The sequence below is a fragment of the Homo sapiens genome, chromosome 18 (assembly GCF_000001405.40).
Source record: "Homo sapiens chromosome 18, GRCh38.p14 Primary Assembly".
Taxonomy (NCBI): Eukaryota; Metazoa; Chordata; class Mammalia; order Primates; family Hominidae; genus Homo; species Homo sapiens.
Genome location: NC_000018.10, coordinates 11,132,441 through 11,151,656, shown reverse-complemented (window position 1 = coordinate 11,151,656; position 19,216 = coordinate 11,132,441). Strand labels below are relative to the sequence as shown.

At 46.3% G+C, this 19,216-nt stretch overlaps 1 protein-coding gene and 1 long non-coding RNA gene across 12 annotated transcripts in view, besides 6 other annotated features; both read left to right on the top strand.

Annotated features, from left to right (window-relative positions):
* Positions 1,736 to 2,185: a silencer, noted in NCBI's record as "silent region_9298". NCBI's record gives its function as "represses an Ori minimal core promoter by ATAC-STARR-seq in GM12878 lymphoblastoid cells {active_cell/tissue: GM12878}" and the evidence as "EXISTENCE:reporter gene assay evidence [ECO:0000049][PMID:35858748]".
* PIEZO2 (piezo type mechanosensitive ion channel component 2) overlaps positions 2,088 to 19,216 on the top strand; it is a 479,323-nt gene continuing 462,194 nt past the window's right edge. For all 11 annotated transcript variants that reach the window (XM_047437735.1, XM_017025918.3, XM_047437736.1 and 8 more), the window contains exon 1: positions 2,088 to 3,132. In XM_047437735.1, coding sequence (XP_047293691.1) covers positions 3,069 to 3,132 — 64 coding nt within the window. In that variant the 5' untranslated portion in view covers positions 2,088 to 3,068. The remainder of the gene's footprint in view (positions 3,133 to 19,216) is intronic.
* Positions 2,426 to 2,705: a silencer, noted in NCBI's record as "silent region_9297". NCBI's record gives its function as "represses an Ori minimal core promoter by ATAC-STARR-seq in GM12878 lymphoblastoid cells {active_cell/tissue: GM12878}" and the evidence as "EXISTENCE:reporter gene assay evidence [ECO:0000049][PMID:35858748]".
* Positions 2,679 to 3,517: an enhancer, noted in NCBI's record as "H3K4me1 hESC enhancer chr18:11148139-11148977 (GRCh37/hg19 assembly coordinates)". NCBI's record gives its function as "activates a minimal SCP1, AML or CMV promoter by ChIP-STARR-seq in naive H9 embryonic stem cells {active_cell/tissue: H9 hESC(naive)}" and the evidence as "EXISTENCE:reporter gene assay evidence [ECO:0000049][PMID:30033119]".
* Positions 2,726 to 2,905: a silencer, noted in NCBI's record as "silent region_9296". NCBI's record gives its function as "represses an Ori minimal core promoter by ATAC-STARR-seq in GM12878 lymphoblastoid cells {active_cell/tissue: GM12878}" and the evidence as "EXISTENCE:reporter gene assay evidence [ECO:0000049][PMID:35858748]".
* Positions 2,916 to 2,985: a silencer, noted in NCBI's record as "silent region_9295". NCBI's record gives its function as "represses an Ori minimal core promoter by ATAC-STARR-seq in GM12878 lymphoblastoid cells {active_cell/tissue: GM12878}" and the evidence as "EXISTENCE:reporter gene assay evidence [ECO:0000049][PMID:35858748]".
* On the top strand, positions 3,141 to 14,658 carry LOC124904249 (uncharacterized). Its single transcript, XR_007066288.1, has 2 exons — positions 3,141 to 13,729; positions 13,838 to 14,658. It is a non-coding gene; the product is annotated as an uncharacterized LOC124904249 (long non-coding RNA).
* Positions 3,546 to 3,595: an enhancer, noted in NCBI's record as "active region_13094". NCBI's record gives its function as "activates an Ori minimal core promoter by ATAC-STARR-seq in GM12878 lymphoblastoid cells {active_cell/tissue: GM12878}" and the evidence as "EXISTENCE:reporter gene assay evidence [ECO:0000049][PMID:35858748]".

Below are 19,216 nucleotides of genomic sequence, written 5' to 3'. Positions count from 1 at the left end.
TGTAAAAACAATGCCACTGCTATGGATATGTATGCTCAAGTCAAGTCCATTGTGAAAGAAAATACAGCTTCAGAAAGGTGGATGAGGTTTGGAGATGCTGGTTTTGAAAGCCAATGGACTATTTTCTGAGTCTGATATGAAAATGAGGACAGCGGTCTTCACCCCTGACTGCATACTTAAGAATCACTTGAGAGCTTTAAGAAAAATACAGGTGTGGGGGCCCCATCGCAGACCAATTAAATCAGGATTTCAGGGAGTGTGGAGACTGAGCGTTTTTCAAAAGCTCCCCAGGTGACTGCAACATGTAGCCAGCATGGAGAAGCCTATTTCAGATGTAGTCTAGACCGCTGAAACTTCCCCTTGAGTACATACGTTGGAAGTCTCAGAACTGGGATGTAGTTGTTAAAATCTCTAACGCCCCAGCAGCCAAGTTGGTACACACTGTGGCAGAGAAAGCTCGAAGTTTATTTGGTAAGACCACCCACCTGCTGGGAATCTTGTGCCTCCCAGCTTATGTTATTTTGAAAGAGAATTATTGTGAAAAAGTCTAGACAGTTGTTAGTATGGGAAGCCTATCAAGAACATAAGAAAGTATTCAGAGAATACAGAATTCATGTGATGACACAGTATTATTTAAAATTCAGGAGTCCTTCACCTATTAGCTCCCAAGAATGAGTCGTACATGGGGTGAGGTGGGGAGGGCATGGATGTGAAGGCAGACTTATGAACATCAAAATTAGTGGTAGATTTATATCAGGCTTCTACAAACAGGCTACACAAACCATTTCTTGATAGCATTTCTTGGTGACTGGATGCTAATTTAAGTTCTATCGTCTCCTGTAGGTCTGCTGTTGAGCTCATGACTACGCCCGGGTTTAGGTGCTATCTAAGCTTCTTGAGGATGGCAGAGCACATGGGTGGTTTAAGTTTCAGGGTGTCTTCACCATATGCCAACTGTCTTGAGTCTTCATTCAAAAAGCAATGGTTCATAGTTTTTCTGTAATTCTCAGAGAATTCGTGAAGGCACCTGAGCTCAAACCACAAGCTTACCCTGTCTCAAAAAAGGGATGTCCACAAAAGCGTTTCAAATGGCTAAAAAGACGGGGGTTTGCCTGTTTTTCATCAGCTCACTGCTCTATCCCCTCCAACTAATGCAAGCCAGGAATGTAGGTGCGGAAGGGAAGCCAGGTCCTTCCCAGTGTGTCCTCCTGATGGAATGCCAGTCCTGAACAGTCCTCTCTACAGATGCTAACAGCCTCTTCCTCCATGTCCGGAAAGACCCCTACTGTGCTCTAGCAAATCTCCTCCACTCTCGGATAACAGTTAAATAAAAGACCCAGGCACACTGCAGTCTCCCAGCTAGAGCCAGATTTCTCTAGATCTTGCCTAGAACAGGCAAAAAGCAGTGCACTAGGAGAAAGGGAGAATATTCTCAGTGCCAACGCTCTCTTTCCCCAGAGCCACGACAAGCAAGGAGCAAAACTGAGGTGAAAACGGAGAGTTCCCCCAAATGCACAAAGTGGGTGCATTATCTGTTGGGGAAGACCCGGGATTTCCCAGAGTCTATTCAGAATGGCAAGTTCTTGCTATGTGAAATATGGGCAGGGTCAACGGTGTAGATGAATTCAGCTCTATTCTTCTTAATGCCAGTGTGCACCTGTGGACCCAGCAGAAGTCGGGGTCGCACAGGACTCTCCAAGCCCCTGGCTTCTCTCCTGCCGGGCCTGTGCGTTTCCCTCGGACCTTAAACGGTTCCCTGGGTTTGGGCAAGCTCAGGGCCCGGCCGGGTGGACTGGATGCCAGGGTGCACCACCGGAATGACAGAACCACGCAGAGCCGCGGGGCTGCGGGAGCCAGTGGGGCAGGAGTGCCCGCGGAGGGCGAGCCAAGGCGCGCAGCCCACTGGCAGGCCAGGCCGGGTCTCTCCCAGGCGCGGGAGCCGCGGGTGGGGGCTTGCCCTCCGCGCCGGTGCAAGGCTCTCACTTCCCCAGCCGCTCAGGGGCGGGCTCCGCGCGCGCAGGCCCCGGAGCCGCCATCCCATTGGCCGGGGGACACGCCCGTCCCCGAGTGAGGGCTTCGAAAGTTTCATTGAAGGTGGAGAAGCGCGCGCCGCCGGGGAGCCCCGGCTGCGCCGCGAGGGCGAGGCTGCAAGGCGGCAGGCGGTGGTCGCGCTGGGCGACGGGACGGCGCTGGTTTTTCTCTTGAGTTTTAAATTGAGGCGGTGGAGGAGGGAGTGGGAGACCCACTCACCCGATATGCGCTCTGGTCTCCATTTCTCCCCACGCTCGCGCCGTTCCTTCGAGTGAGGGAGGGACTCGCAGCGCCGCCCGCGCACCGGACCCACAAGGCGAGCCCCGTGGTGGCGGGGATGGTTCTGCGCGCCTGGCAGCTCCCACCCCGGTCTCTCCGGCCCGAAGCTGGGGGGCGCAGGGGCTGAGCTGCGCTGCCTCTCGGGGATCCGCCGCGGGCCGCCTGGGGGCTGGAGGGCGAGACCCGGAGCCCGCCGGGCAGCTCCGAGAGCCGGGGCCGAGGCCAGAGCGCGGCAGCCTGCGTGGGCAGCGGAGACGAGGCCGGGCAAAGGAGACGCGGTGGCTTCAGAGGGGCTTCCAAGTAGAAAACTCCCCGGCCGCCCCCAAACGACGCCCCGGGAGCCAGGCGGGAGCACAGCACGCCCTTCTTGCCCCCTTTGCTCGCCGCGCCGCCTCCCAGGACCCTCCCAAAGCGTCCCTCTCCAAGGCCCCGGCATCAGCTACCCCTGAAGAAGCCGCCGCCGCTGCCGGATCCAGGATTCACACTAAATGGGCCGGCCGCAGGGGGCCGGGCGCCGGGCTAGGTGGCCGCCAAGAGCCTGGTGAGGGGCTACCCAGAGCCCGGTGGGCGAGGGGCGGCCAAGAGCCCCGGGAGCGTGCCCTCGGGGCGGAGAGCGTCGCGGCCCGCGCCGAGGCGATGCTCGGGTGGCTGCGAGCTGCCGGCGGCGAGAGGCCATAGACGGGCATGGGCCTTGCGTCCCACCACCCCTAGGGACCCTCGAGCCTCGCCCCTCTGCTCCGACTCGCCGGACCGACGCGATGGCCTCAGAAGTGGTGTGCGGGCTCATCTTCAGGCTGCTGCTGCCCATCTGCCTGGCAGTAGGTGAGTCTGGTCCGCTTTCCGAGGGCACTTGAGGAGGACGAGGGGGGCGCCTGGGTGGGGGACTTCTTAACAAAGTGAAGGGCTCTGGTGCTCTGGGGTTCGATTCGGGAGGCCAGCGGCGTCAGACGCGCGCTGTCCCTGGTGCACAGCCTGGCTCTCTCACTTCCCACTCTGGGGCGCGCGATCGGGGTATCTCTTAACAGGATGCTCGGGACGGGCATGTGCTGGAAACTGTTTATGTTGAATTTAGTTACACGTGGATTTTCTTTCGTGGAGTACTGACTTGTGTACTAAGGATGGCCATTGCTGTGGCTGGAAGGCGGATGCGTCCCCATCGTAGGTACAGTCAGGCTCCTACCTGAGCCCCTCGCCCCAGTGACCCTGCAAGCACAGCATGCTGTGCCTCCAGACGGCCCAGAGGCCATCTCTCCCAGACCCCAAATCCCAGCAACCGTGAAGGAAGAAGTGAAGGACTCCGGTCATTCAAAAAAGAAAAAGAGGGACGAGGTACAGGGAGACAGTGCCTTGACGTTTCTTACTTATTTTTTAAAACCTCCACAAAAGCCCCTACTACAAAAGTACTGGATGCTAAGGCTATAGACCCCCAACACCTAGTCCCGCCTCCCAGCGGCCGCCCTCTCCAGATTTTAAAGGGTTAGAAAGCAGGGTTGGAACTCCTTGGGACTGGCAAGGGCCCAGGGAGGACCGCAAGGGAGCCTCCTCGACGCCCAGACAAGCGTTGCACCGTTTCCCCAGGACTGGCCTGGCGTGCAAAGCAACTGGGTGCTGCGTTCTGGGAGTCGGACCGTTTCTGATCTTCTCCTCAAACAGGCAGTGCCTGTGACATTGAATTCCTCTCGTAAGAATGCCGGGCCCTGGTTCTTTGCTCTCCCTCTCACCAACAAGAGCTAGGAAGTAGAGCGCTTTTCACCAAGTAGTAACTGTATTTACAGAGGGCGTGGCCTTCGCAGAAAAGGCCACCTTTTTGCATCTTGACCGAGGTTGATGACTCTGCATCTTGACCGAGGTTGATCACACCTGTGTTAAATGTTTTCTTTGTGCAAGCAATCGAATGGGGGCTGTAGCGTGATTGGTGAGGGTCAGGACAGTTGCCGGGAGAGTTTTTGTAACACACTTCGTGAGTGAAGAGTCTGGGAGGCGTCTTTTCAACAAACCTCAGCGGAAAACCCAGAAAGGCGCTCCGAGTGGAGGGAAGGTGTGGCCAGGCGGGGTCCCGGGGCAGCAGGAGGGACCCACGGGTGGATGCTGGCCTCGTTCTCTACTTTGCAGTTTGAGTTTCCATTTTGCAGGGGTCTAGTCTCACTCGCATAGATGAAGAGCTAAGCTTCCACAGAGCGGATATGCACCTCTCTCCCCGCCAGCTTGAAAAGCGATTTGGGAAAGGGATTCTTCAGGTGCCTTACACACAGAGGGTGTCACTGCTCAGGGATCATCTCTGTATCCTAAGCGCTTGGCACTGTGCCTGGCACATTTACTATTTGTGAATTGGAAGCTAGTGACCGAGTTAACAAAGGGCTTTTAGCATGAAGCGTGATTTATGGTCCTCAGTGCAGACCGGGGAGGGGTCCTGGGGAGTGGCACTAAGGTTAAAGGCCGCTCTGCTCCCTCCCAGTCCCTCTATCCACCGTCCTCCTCGCCACTGTTCCTGGAGGATGGACACCCTCTTCCCCATCCCCCATCCCGCTCTCCAAGGGACAGCAGCTCACTGTGACTGTTGGAAGAGTTAGGCATGTGGTTCCCTGCAGCCAGCTCGGTCCACTCTGTGACTTGGCACCAGTGGCGGAATGAAGTGCCAGCAGCGATTGCCTGCGACCTTGCCCTGAGCATAGGCTCTTGCAGGTTGGGCTCCCTGGACTCAGCTCACCTGCCTCCAAGCCCCGCGGATGCTGGGGTTGGGGCCTGTCAGTCCTACTAAAGGTTGGTGGCCTATGCTAAAAACTCCTTCAGTAGGGCTGTAGTACTCTGCCCTCCCAAGGGGAGCTGGCCTGGTTCACAGCACTCCCAGCTTGGGTTGCTGGGCACAGGGGCTCGGGGCGGTGACTCGCAGCCAGGGTGGAGGTGGGGGGACTGGGGTCTGGATTCAGCCCTGCCTCTCACCACTGGGACCCCCACCGAGCTTCTTCTGTGGTGCCCGCACACTGTTCACCTCCTGCTGGCTGGCTTGTGCCCCAGGGCAGGCTGGGGGCTCCCGCTGCCTGAGTCCACTTTGATCCTGGACTTTCTGGGAGGAGCTCGGCTTCCAGGGGCGACAAGATAATAACCTTGGCCAACATGCAAACTGCGTCTTGCCTCGGGGACAGCTGAGTCTGCCCAGGAGATCCTGGGGCTGCCTTCTTTATCCAGCTCATTCTTCAGGACTCCCACACCTCTCTGGGTTCAGGGAGACTAACCTGGGTGTGCGAGTGTGTGCATGACTGTGTAACAGTTTGTGTGAATGTGAGTTTGAGTGCATAAGTGTGAGTGTGCACATGTGTTATGAGTATGTGTGAGTGTGAGTATGAGTGTGTAGGGGGTTAGAAGGTAGTGGTCCCCCTTGCTCAGCCTGGAACCTGTTGCTTTCCCCTGCCCTAGGAAAAGCCTCATCCAGGAGAAAGCAGAGGAGGTGGACTGGCCCCTGGCTGGAAGAGAGCCTGAGCTCCCTGGGAGACCTGACCCTAGTGACCTCCTCACGTGTTGGGTGCTTAGAAAAGATAACCTGCATTCTGGAAAATTATTGACATCTTCTAATCATGATACTTACTTACAGGGATGAAAGAGGGCTGAGCAGATATGCCACCTTATTTGAGCATTTGATTCTTTTCTGCAAGAAGTGGAGATTTCCAAGGTTATTGGAGGGTTCTGGTCTGCCTACTCCCAAGGTGCTGCTAAGTCAAATATTCAGGTTTCTCTCCTGCGCATAGTGAGTGCAAAGGTCTGCTTGCCATTAGAATCGATTTTACATTTTAGCCATCTATTTTTATATCTGGAAAAGGCAGCCTTCAAAGCTAAGCCTTTGTAGAAGCTTACATATTTTCCTTTAAGCTCATTTCTTTAATACTGATGTTGAAATTTTCCTGCACAGAGATTCCTAGTGTTTTTACTTAATGATAGATGTTAAAAATTAACTGCTATTGTGTTTAATATAATGGTTACAGATTTTTTTTCTTTTTCCGTATAAGATAAATTTTAAGAGAAGTGATAAGTGAACTCAGGCCTCTTCAATGCAGATGTTATGTGATTCGTGAGTGTTAAAAGCAAAACAAAACCATAATAGAATATGTTATTTACCATCCAAAATGAACATCCTGTGATGGATATGCATATAGTCATAGCCACCAAAAACTTTAAATATCTCCCAAATTATCTGTGACTAGTTGCTAAGTCATCTGATTTTTTTTCTTACACATAATACACAAAAAGGTAAAGACTTTCCATATTATGCAATCTCTAATAATTATAACTGATAATTATTGAACATTTTACACATATTTTACGTTTAGTTTCTTTCAACAGGATTCTACTATACCACCCGTCTTTAGGTATATGATTTGAGATTTTTTCGGTCAAGAATGCACTGGTGTATTTGTTTTTAACTGATGTTCCTGACTATTTTATTCCATCTTGCCCAGTGTTGCCTGGAGTTCCCTAATGTCTTGCCTGGAAGAAATGACTTACATATTTTCAGGGGGAAGAAAGGGGAAGCCTTGCTTGGGGGAACAGGGGATTAGAGATCATGGCTGCCCGTCCCCTAAAACAGGCAATCAGAGCTTAGGAAAGAGCAGAGCAGAAAAGGGGACTGTGTCCCACAAACAAGAATCAACCAATCAACTAGTGCTCTGAAAAACAATATTCCAATCCAGAAAGAATCTCTAAAACTCCCTTTAAGGATAGTTGGATTAAAATGTGAGTAAAAATTTGGGCTCATTTTTGAAATATATTAGATATGGCTATCTAATCATAATTTTCTCTTTATAGCATGATGTATTTTCCTGTGTAATATATATCATTTTGAAATCACACTTCCACACAGTCCAAGAATTACAAATGGAGCTAATGTCTATGTGATCAGCATTGGCCTCCCCTATTGCGGTGGCTGTAGCTCTCAGTGGTAGGTGGCTGCAGCTGCCAAAGGATTCATGGAAGGCATTTAAGAAAGTAACTTGCTTTTCTGTCACACTTTCTCAGCCTTATATAAGTAGATACTATTTATCAAGTTCAGAAATGAAAAAAGGAACAGTGGAAAGGATTGGAAATTTAGAGCTTATTTCTAAAATAAAATATTTCATCCACACAGACGGGCATGAGCATGTTGTCTCCTGAGCTGTGGGTGCTGCAGCTATGTGTCCGTCCTGTTGCTTTGTAAGTGTGTGTGTTTCTTTACGGGTGATGTGTGTTTGTTCGTAGTCAGAGATAAGCAGATGGCTTTGGACTTCACCTTTGAGGAAGGATGGTGTTGCCACTGGGCAGTTTAAGAGACTCTCATTGACCTCATGGCTCTGCCCTTCACTGTATGATTGTGGAGTTCCTTTTGTTTGTTTCTCTTTTCTTTCTGTAAAATGGTAAATAACATATTCTATTATGGTTTTGTTTCGCTTTTAACACTCAAGAATTACATGCATGGTTGTGAGATAGTGTGCACAGCACACCTTGTATAAAGCCTGACACACAGCAGGCGCTGCCTTACCTTTATGAAGATGAGCAGAGAGCAGAATGCTCAGGCGATGTCTCAGTCAAAATTAACAGACTAGGAGGTAAGAGCATGGGCCAGGAGAAGGCTGATCTGAGGATGTGGGATTCACGGGAAGGCAACTTAGTGCCTTCCTAGAGCCAAATTATGTGAGAGAGAGAGAGTGAGAGAGAGAGAGAGAGAGAGAGAGAGAGAGAGTGTGTGTGTGTGTGTGTGTGTGTGTGTGTGTGTGTGTGTTAGAGATTTTTAGTTCTCAGGATTTTTCTCACCAGTTTTACTCAATATTCCAAATCTGCAGTTGCATTTTTCTGATTAATAGGACTTAAAAACAATATTTAGAACAATTACATATTGTTCTCACTAGATCAATACTGTTAACGTTTGCTTTTGTTTTTCAGCACCATTTTTGTAGTCTTTATTTAATGTGATTTTATTTCTAACATGTCATTTTCCTTTTGGGTTCTTGTGCTACTAACAGTGAATTGTATGTGAAGTTATGTAGTAATGATGTGTATAATATGCTTTTTTGCATAAATATTCAGGAGAACTTAGAATAGCATAAGCCATCTGGATATTGAAGAACAATTGATGAAGAACAATATGATACCATGTGTATAATCTACAACATTACAGCTTATAAGATTTTTGATTTAAACCGTTGTCTTGAGGACATGGAATCAGTCAAAAAAAAATCCCATTGAACTGAGGCTAAAAACAAAAATATTGGAAAACTTTTTCTTTTTCTTTTTTCTTTTTTTTGAGACGGAGTCTTGCTCTGTCACCCAGGCTGGAGTGCAGTGGCGTGATCTTGGCTCACTGCAAGCTCCGCCTCCTGGGTTCATGCCATTCTCCTGTCTCAGCCACCCGAGTAGCTGGGGCTACAGGTGCGTGCCACCACACCCGGCTAATTTTTTTGTATTTTTAGTAGCGACGGGGTTTCACCATGTTAGCCAGGATGGTCTCGATCTCCTGACCTCGTGATCCCCCGACCTTGGCCTCCCAAAGTACTGGGATTACAGGTGTGAGCCACCGTGCCCGGTCCTTTTTTTTTTTTTTTTTGCGATAATCTCACTCTGATGCCTAGGCTGCAGTGCAGTGGCACGATCTCGGCCCACTGCAACCTCCACCTCTGGGGTTCAAGCGATTCTTCTGCCTCAGCCTCCGGAGTAGCTGGGATTACAGGCGTGCACCACCCCAGTCCGCTAATTTTTTGTATTTTTAGTAGAGATGGTGTTTCACCATGTTGGCCAGGCTGGTTTTGAACTCCTGACTTCAAGTGATCCTCTGCCTTGGCCTCCCAGAGTACTGGGATTACAGGCGTGAGCCACTGCGCCTGGCCTGGAAAACATTTTTTAAATGTTTGGCTGTCAGTCGAGGTTTGTCATATTCCTCAGAGCTTCCACTTGACCTTCCAGACCTGTCTAGGACGTGGCAAAATCAAAATGATGAGAAGTACATACTCAACATCGTGAAAAGCCCGTCAGAGACACAGTGTCTAATAATTTCATAATTTCTTAACTGTCTAGTGATTATCTAATAGGCATAGAAAATTTAGCTAAATTATTTTTAAAATTTAACAGCAACGTATAGCTTTGCATTTTTTCAATGTGTTGTTGGGTTTTTAAAAGAAAATATATGTAACAGTTACCAGCTTATAAAATGTTTTCATTGCACCTGCAGCATATACATATAAGTTTTATTTGCCTTGCTTTATCATATAGGATGGTGATGTTTTCTGATTATGACTTGCTATTTTTAAATTCCCCTTTTGTGCCGTACTGTTTGGGCACAATTCTGCATTAAACTAGGATATTGTGGATGGACATATTTAAACTCCTTTTGTATATGAACTTGCAAATTATAAATATATTTTATAAAAAAGGGATGGATTTGGTCTATCTATGAGGTTAGTTCTGCAGAAACTACTTAGGCTTTCTGTGGCCATTTCACCAGTCACCTGGAGGGGGAAGCTTCTGCTGAGATCTTCACTGCTCTCTTCAGGAGTGATTTCATTCTGCAACCCAAACTCAGGTTATTGTCGCCTCAGTATTGTCGCCAACTCTGAACTCTCCACCCCACTTCAGATTCAACTTGGTCAACACCAAGCATCCTGTCTCCCCGGGGCCTTCTCTGGTGTGCTCAGAAGAGTTCTAGGTCAAGTGAACAAGCCGTTCGTCTGCTCCTTAGCCTGCACATTTGTGACGAGACTGTGGGTGCCACTGCTGCCTTGGGTGCAAGTGCTGTCCACACCAAGCACCTTGTTCAAGGGCACGCTTCTAAGTTTTGCCCTTAAGTTTTCATCTCGGTCCACATACGTGTTGCGTGGCTCTACATTCTGTGCGCCCCGCAGCATGCAGAACCTCAAGCCTCCAACCTGGCCTCTTGGACTCATTCCATCTTTACCCTGTGTGGTGCTAGATGTGCCTTCCCCTGCCCTAAGCCCCCCAGAATCTTCTTCCGAGAAGCATAGTTGGGGCTTTTCTCAGTGGGCAATTACATTCCAGCCTTAACCTTGGTCAAACCAGTCAATCCACTGTTGCCATTCTTCCTTAAATACACCACTTGGTCATTAGCCCAACAGGCTTGTAGTCCTGACTGGCGGCAAATAGGCTCTTTTCTCCAGTTGATAGAAGGCCCCGTCAGCCAGTTCTAAGCAAAGACAATTCTGTTCTTCTTGAGTTCTGTTTTCCATGTAGGTTTCTCAGCATAATGATGCTTAGATAAGACAAACTTAGTCTGTCTCCCCTGATAGTCAAGATGTAGGTGATTGGAGCGGGTATGTTAACTCTGCTTATTAAAGTTTCCCAGGGCCGCAGCCATACTCTTCCATCCCACATGGGTTGCACTCATCTGCATGGGTCAAGACAGCCTGTTACCATGTCCACATCAAGCTGAAGGCTGGAGGTAGGAGATGCAGAAGGAACACTCCTTCCCCACCCTCTACGGGTACAGCCAGGAAGCTGCAAGAATCACTTCTGCTCACATCCAGTTAGCCTGAGTGTAGGAATCTTCTCCACCTACCGTACTGTAAAGGAAGCTGGGAAATGTCATTCTTATTTTGGTGGATAATGTGCTCAGCTAAAATGGGAAAAGTCGGTCTGTGGCCATGACAGAGAGTGGATATTAGCATGCAATAACAGTATCATCTGTGCCTCCTGTGGTTGAAGGTACCTTAGTGTGCCTTGCAGACACCACTGACATTTTTCTGAGGATCTACACTAACACCCATCTTTGTTTCTAGACCTTAGCTAGACTCAAGTCCCTAAGCATCTAAAGATGAGGCACAAAGTATGACCCATGAGATCTATACTCCAAAATAACATGATTTTCTCAATTTAGACATAAATTAGAGGAAAGTGTGTGGGAATGGGTATTAGGGTGTGGAATAATGATGCAAGGAACATGAAATTGGATCTGGTCAGTGTTGTACCTCCAGGGCTTAGAAAGGGCTCTGACAGTTTGGTTGGTGGCGGAAACAGGCACCAAAAGGTGGCCTACACTAAATGAAGTTGAAATGCCAGAGCTACCTTGGTATGCTGTAGTGGAAGGGATCCAGAGGCTTAGGGAGATTGGGATGTTACAGTGGATTTATCATAAAAGATCTGCTCATCCACCTTGGGAGGGTGCAGAGGACACACTTTCACCAGAAGTATGGGGAAAAAAATTTTTGAAGGGAGCCTCAGGTGTCCATGAAGAGCTCTGGGGCTGCTCTTCTCTGCAGGTCAGAGATTGCAGTGGAAGCTGCTGCCACTGACTGGGGGTCCTTAACTGCATTGGGGATGGTTGGATCCCAGGTGGCAGGGGCCATGTGATCACCAAAGACCAGGTGGGTGCATTGCCATCATGGAGAACAGCAGAGTCAAAGCAGCAATCTGAACAGCCTGACTTGAGAGTCCTACGGCATTGGGTAGGTGGTCATGGTGTCCCTAGAAGAGAACTCGATGGGCAGTCTACTGAATTCTGACTCGATCTGTATAAGCAGAAGAGTTCTAGATCAAGTGAACAGAAGTCTATCTTGACATACCAAAAGAAAGAGTCACGGTCCCTCAATCACTTCCCAGATTTGAGTCCCAGAACCCGTTAAAGGAAGGGGAGGCCGGTGACCCTACTACACTGCTGATTACATTTTTATTTTATTTCTCCCAACCCATTTCTTTGAGTAACAAGTGTCTTCATTTGAAGTGTAAATATCTGTGGAAAGATAAAATGGCTATTTATTACCCATATATTAGGTCAAATAGCTTATTTGCTCCCATCGTCTAGGTGGGATGGGATGGACATTTTAAATAAATGGGAGAGAGAGTATTTACATTGTGGGTACAGGTATGATCTAGATGCCCATATATTTATTAGGGCGTCATAATATCACTGGGCAATTAGGGGCTTATCAAGATGACTTCCAACACAGAAAGTAGCACATCTTTCTCAGGGCCTGCTCTACACACCAGAAACAATACAAAAATTCTTTCTCTTCCTCCTTCTTTTATTTGCATTATATGGTTTCTGATGTTCAAGGTGAAATGTACTATCTTGACTAAGAGCCCCAGGTCTAACGCCAGATTATTTGAGTACTGATCTTGGCTCTGTCATTCAGCTGTGTGACCTTGTTCAGATTGACCCCTGTTTTTGAGATATTTCATCTGGAACAAGGTAATAATAGAACATAGCTCAGAGGATTGTTGCAAACCTTAGATGTCAGTGCTTATAGAGTGCTTCGAGCAGTGCCCGACATACGGTAAATACTCAATAAATAGTTGCTTTTATGAATAGCTCCAGATACAGAAGTTAGGCACGATTATGAGTAAAACATTGGCTAGTGTGAGTTCCTTCTCATCGAGAGCAGCACAGTTTCAATGGGCAGATAACTTAGAGAACCAATCAGCTTACGAGAAGCTTTGGAACATGACCTGTTGAAAGTTGAGAATGGTCTTGTCTTTGCCGTCTTCTCCCCAATCAGATACATCAGACAGCCTCTGTGCTATGGTTCATGGTTACCTTTGAAACAACGTGACATCTTTTCTCCTTTAATTCTCCTTCCCAGGCAGAAGGATTTGTTCCTTCTGTGCTCACCCGCCACTTTGCATACTCATTACAGAATGTTGTATTAATATTCAGTTGTAGGAGCACTGTCTTGCCTTCTATGTGTCTGTAGGTTCAGGGACCTTGTATAGTCCTTGTTGATATCCCCAGCACGGAACTTACTCCTCAATATACAGATAGCAGCTATTTCAAAACATCTTTTGAGCTGGGTGTGGTGGCTCACGCCTGTAATCCGAGCACTTTGGGAGGCTGAGGAAGGTGGATCACCTGAGCTTAGGAATTCGAGACCATCCTGGGCAACATGGGGAAACCTCGTCTCTACTAAAATACAAAAATTAGCTGGGTGAGGTGGCACACGCCTGTAGTCCCAGCTACTCGGGAGGCTGAGGCATGAGAATTGCTTGAGTCCCAGAGGCAGAGGTTGCAGTGAGCTGAGATTGTGCCACCGTACTCCAGCTTGGGCTACAGAATGAGGCTTGCTCTCAAAAAACAAACAAACAAAACTACAACAACAACAAAAAAAACACTATATCTTTTGGATTGTAGGTTTTTCAAATTGTGAACATAACCTCTGATCATTACACTTCAGCTACCCAGCAAGGACTATAACACACAGGAACACTGAAGAAATATTTACCAATTGACTAAAACATTCACTGACTAATTTTTGTTTTGAACATCTCAGAAGTCTGAAAATAGAGTTAGGTCTAGTTTCCTATAGCGATTGGTTTTTAAGTCTTTGAATATAAAATTTATAACAGCCTAATATATACTCTGTGACTTTCATAAATGTGAATTGTATCAGGATGGCAATTAACACCTTTTACTTGCTTTGCAGGGAACAGAGAAGGAAAAACCCATTTGACAATGGTAAAACTTAAGTCACATCCTTGAAATGCATATTATTTTTAAAAATGTTTTTAGCTCTCCTGGAACCACACAAATCGATCTGTTTTCTCTTGCGGTCAAACCCTCTAGGGCAGCAGTTTGGCCACAGGTGCAGAAAAGGAAGAAGGATGAAGACCCTTAGCAAGCTGGTAATCTTGAACTGAAGCACCACGGAAGTGAATTAGAGAGATGGGCAGAGTTGGGCCGTCCCTGCTCCTGCCATCTCCCTCCTGCTGCTTTCCCTGGACTGTCCCTGCCGGGCAGCACTGCCTTTGGCATTGCTGCAGGTACACGGACCCCTGCTAGGGAACCTAGGCAGCATGCAGGTTGGAAAGGGCCCAGGTTTGAAGGTCTAACGAACAAATCTGGATCCTGTTCATAACGAGCTATGCGACTTTGCCAAGTTACAGAAACTCTCTGTTTTTCAATTACATCATCTCTAGAATGAGGTGTTCAAGGCTAAGAAATATTTTCACAATTCTCAGGGTAATATTTCTGCACATGCCTTTTTTAATATTAAAAGGTATGGCCATAAATCACTGCTTTTTAACCTACGGGCCGGAATTTTTATATCTAAATCGCTCTGGCCTCCTTAATAACCATCGTATGTACATACACTTAGGACTTGCCCTCAAAGAAAGGTTAGGAACTGCTAAGAACAATAATTTTTTTTTACCATGTTAGAGATGTGGTTCAGGATTTTACAAAACAGTTGATTATGAAGGAGAGACATTCTAGTTTAGGCTTTGAGCTTCTAATATTTCGATGATCCTCCCTCACCTGCTCCTAATACAGAATCATGGAGACTGTGCACACCAGTGATGGGAATAGCATGAACAAGATGTGTGAGCATGTTTAGATTCGAATTGGCTTTCTGTATCTGCAGAAATAAAGGAGCTTCATCACCCATAGCTTATTACTAGACATGCCTTTAAAGAAAACCAAGCTACATTATAGTTATTAATTGAAGCTAAACAATCGTATAAGAACACAGGATGATATAAACAAGATTTGAGTCAGAAAAAGATACTGAGTAAAATACTGAATGTAATCAGTTGCAGTATTACATTGACATTGTAGACTATGAGATCTCAGATAATTCTATTATCCATAAAAGGAAAGGGTAGGCTGCACAAACACCTCAGGTGTGTGTAGGTCAGAGACTCACACTGGGGCTCCCTACGCAGGTGTTGCTGTCATGGCTCCAGCATTAGCTGTGGGGGTGTGAGCTTCCTGTTCTTCAACCCCCTCTCCTTCCTCTCATCAAACTAAACACTGGTTTCCAAACTAAATATTTTTCAAACTAAATATTAGAGCTTGCTCATGCTTAGTTAATCCTGACTCGTGTTGGCCTTGGGGCCCAAAATCAGTCTAGCTGGTAAGCAAGGAAATGTTGTTAGCTGGAGCCAGGCTTGCATTGCAGGCCAGACAAGGCTGCTATAGCACACAGCCTCTGGCAATCCATCCTCAGTCACAAGAGAAGATGAAAGGTCAGATTACAAGGCAGTGAGAAGAGGGATCCTCATAAAATGGGCTTTGTTTCTTGTGAGCCAGTGTTTTCTAGAAGGCTCCAGCTCCTAGGATTTTTCACTAACAACCACAAACCTCTTAGCAATAACTTTCAAAGCATGATCAGTTTTGCTGCAAAGCATCATCGTGGTTGCCATTGCATCACCTTAGAGCCACACTGCATTTCTGACCCAGTGCCGGATGCCCCCGCCTCATTCACTGGACTCCACTTATCACTATTTTGAGCTGTTTTCAAACGTTAAAGTCACTGTCAAAGTGCAACAATTTCCCACCATGTAAGTTATTTTAAAAGATGTGACACAGTCCCTAAAGCATTTCTTAAATTGGGTATCAAAATTTTTTGAGCAAATTATCTTTAGAGTAAGGATGTATCCTTCCAAACTTATTACTTAGGAGAAAACAAATGTCAGATATTATCTTATCCTTATGACACCAGTTGGTTATCTATTCCAGTAGATCCATACTCAAGATTTGCAAATGGAATCTAGTTCTGGGATCTATGTTGATAATGCAGTGCTAATCTCCCAAGGAAGGAGAAGTATCCCAGTCAAACAAACTCTTTTTAAAATACCTTTGCAGGCCTAGGTGGGCGGATCACGAGGTCAGGAGATTGAGACCATCCTGGCCAACATGGTGAAACCCTGTTTCTACTAAAAATACAAAAATTAGCTGGGCGTGATGGCACGCACATGTAGTCCCAGCAACTCTGTAGACTGAGGCATGAGTATTGCTTGAACCCGGGAGGCGGAGGTTACGGTGAGCCAAGATCACGCCATTGCACTCCAGCCTGGGCAACAGAGCTAGACTCCATCTAAATCAATCAATCAATCAATCAATCTGCAACGTGAACCAAACTGTAATGTTTTATAGCTTTGAATATGCATATAATGCATTTTCTTTAAAAGAGCATATTTGAAGTGTGGATTTAATAGCCCACTGGTGATTTTGTCTTTCAGTTGCTTTTTAAAATCATACTCTGATTTTACTCAATTTTTTCTGCACCCCTGCAGTGAGATCTTGTACATTCCCCACCAGAATCGTACAGTCATCCAAGATGTTTATTCACCCAGCTTCTCCTACCTTAAAATAGCCCTGGCGTTTGTTTTCTCTGAAGTCAAAGGAACTCATGTCTGAGTTTTTGTTGGTCCATATCTCGTTATCGCTTTGGACATTACTGCTTTCTAGGTTTCTGTTTTGGCTCTTGCCCAAAGAGAGGTTGAAAATTGTTTGAAATCTTATTGTGAAAGTCTCTAAATATTCCCATCTGTGTATTCCTCATCCCAATTCTTGGCACTTCATCTCTTAATAGAAACATAAGAAAAAAAATTTTTTTTTTTTTTTGCTTACTTAATTTCTTCTTTCCCCTTAACAATTACACAACACCGTGGGTGGGGTGGGGGGTCAATATTAGAGGGTTCAGAGCTTATCCATGGTGTCTGTAGTTCAGTGCTGATCCTCCTTGGGCACTGATTTTTGATTCTCCATTCTTCACCAAATCATGCTTTGTTCTTTCTTCTCATGTAGCACTTTGAATTTTGTGATGTAATTCCTATTGGGAAACATTTTTATTTATTTTATTTTATTTATTCAGTAATTTATGACAGTGAGATACTGAGTTTCATGATTAGGTCTTTTTGAGAAATGCTGGGCTAAAACATGGCAAGACTGTTCAGAGCTTAGTGTCTACTGCAAATGGTGAATTTCTAAGAGTTTAGTACAACGTGCAGTGTTTTCCAAACTTATCTGACCACAGAACCCCTATTTCTTACCCTTGGCACTAATGTCCTGGGAGCACACATTGAAAAATTCTAGACTTTTGGACTACCAGATAGAACAATAAAAAGAGTGTATTTTGGGATGAGGGCCTTTTTAGAAGACCAGAAATCTCACTTTTCAGGTGTGAGCATGAAGCCAGCGCTGATGGGTGGTCACTGTCACAGCCGTGAGAGGGAAGGACAATTGGGACTGCCTTTTTCTTACGTGTGCTTGTGGACTTTGGTTTGTACTCTTTATTTTAGAAAAACAAAGTGGCCAAAAAGAGAGAAACAGTCTTAGAAACTAGATATTCCAGCAGCTGTAGAATGCCAGAAAATAACCAGGCTACACACATTTGCAGGTGTAGCAGCAGCATAGTGGAAAACCAACAAGGGAGTTAAAGTAAGTCACACAGCATCCTGCATCCTCGCCACCGCCTCATGACTGGACGGCCAGTGGCCTCCTGAGGGTCCTCCTGTTTCATATTTCTCTGTAATGTCCCTTCTCTATGTGCTGATCACATGGGTCTTTTCAACACTGAAGTCAGATATCATTCCTCTGCCTTAAACCCTCCAGCACTTTCTCGTTGCACTTAAAAAGCAAACCCTAAATCCTTAACTTGCCCTATAAAGCCCCTGGCTCTTGCACCCTCTAACCACACTGGAATTATTTTTGTTACTCAGTGTATTAGTCAAGGTTCTCTTAGAGGGACAGACTAATATGATATGTGTGTGTATATGTATATATATATAGAGAGAGAGGAGTTTATTAAGTGTATATATATATAGGAGTTTATTAAGTATATATATATATATACACACATATATATAGAGAGAGGAGTTTATTAAGTATTAACTTACGCGATCACAAGTTCCCACAATAGACTGTCCGCAAGCTGAGGAGCAGGGAGAGCCAGTCCAACTCCCAAAACTGAAGAACTTGGAGTCTGATATTTGAGGGCAGGAAGGATCCAGCACAGGACAAAGATATAGACTGGGAAGTTAGGCCCATCTCTCCTTTTCACGTTTTTCTGCCTGCTTTATATTCACTGGCAGCTGATTAGATTGTGCCCACCAGATTAAGGGTGGATCTGCCTTCCCTAGCCCACTGACTCAAATGTTAATTGTTAATCTCTTTTGGCAACACCCACACAGACACACCCAGGATCAATTCTTTGTATCCTTCAATCCAATCAAGTTGACACTCTATATTAACCATCACAAGTCTACCCCTTGTCAACTTGAACCCATACACATTTCCTGAGATCTTCAAGTAAAGACAATAATAAGGTCATAATTTAACGCCTACCATAACACAACTATCCCTTGTACAACCGGAAACGTGCCAATCCCCAACCCAAATACTATTACATAAAGTTAACAATACTTAAATGCTGATATGAAGTCAGTAAATCTTATGTCACATGATAAAGGAGAAAGGAAATAAAATGATTTTCTGAGTACAAGTGTATACATGCACAAACATGTTTTTAGCAAAAAAAGGAGGAAATAACGCATAACAGTTACAGTCCTTATTTCTGCAGCTGGTCACGTGGTCATGGATGGTATTGATGACTACCTTCTTCTACTACCCATTCTGTATCCCCTTTGCCTTCAGCAAGCATCTCAGGAGATCATGGTTTTTTTCCTGGTGGAGTGACCCAAACCTTCATTCCTGAAGGGTTTGGGTCATTTGTAGTGCTGCCTGGTTTGGGCTGTTGTAGTTTCCCATTGACCTTAATCACAGAGCATGGTAATACTAAGAGACGCCCTAATGGATCTCCTGTATTCCATGCATGCTGGAGATGACCCAGTGATTCTGGGTCAGTCACCGCAGCCAACACTGTAACTCCCTTCTTAGCCTGTTGACTTAAAGGTAGGAGGAGCCCAAAGTGTCCAGGTGGCAATCTTAACTCCCAGTTTAATGGAATCATTGTGTCTACTGGTGGCAGTGCTCCTTCTTCTGGAACTAAGACCTCTAGGCCAGCAGAACGTAATGTCACGGGAACAGGAAGCAAAAATTTTGCTAGTGGATCACTAGGGATGATTGTGAGTGGTGCCACTTCTACTTCTACCTTCTGATTCCCGGACATATGAATCCTGGCTATGAGAGAAACAGTACCATATATTGGATGTTGATTCAGAGCATACACGGCCTTCTGGAGAACTTTGCCCCAGCCCTGCA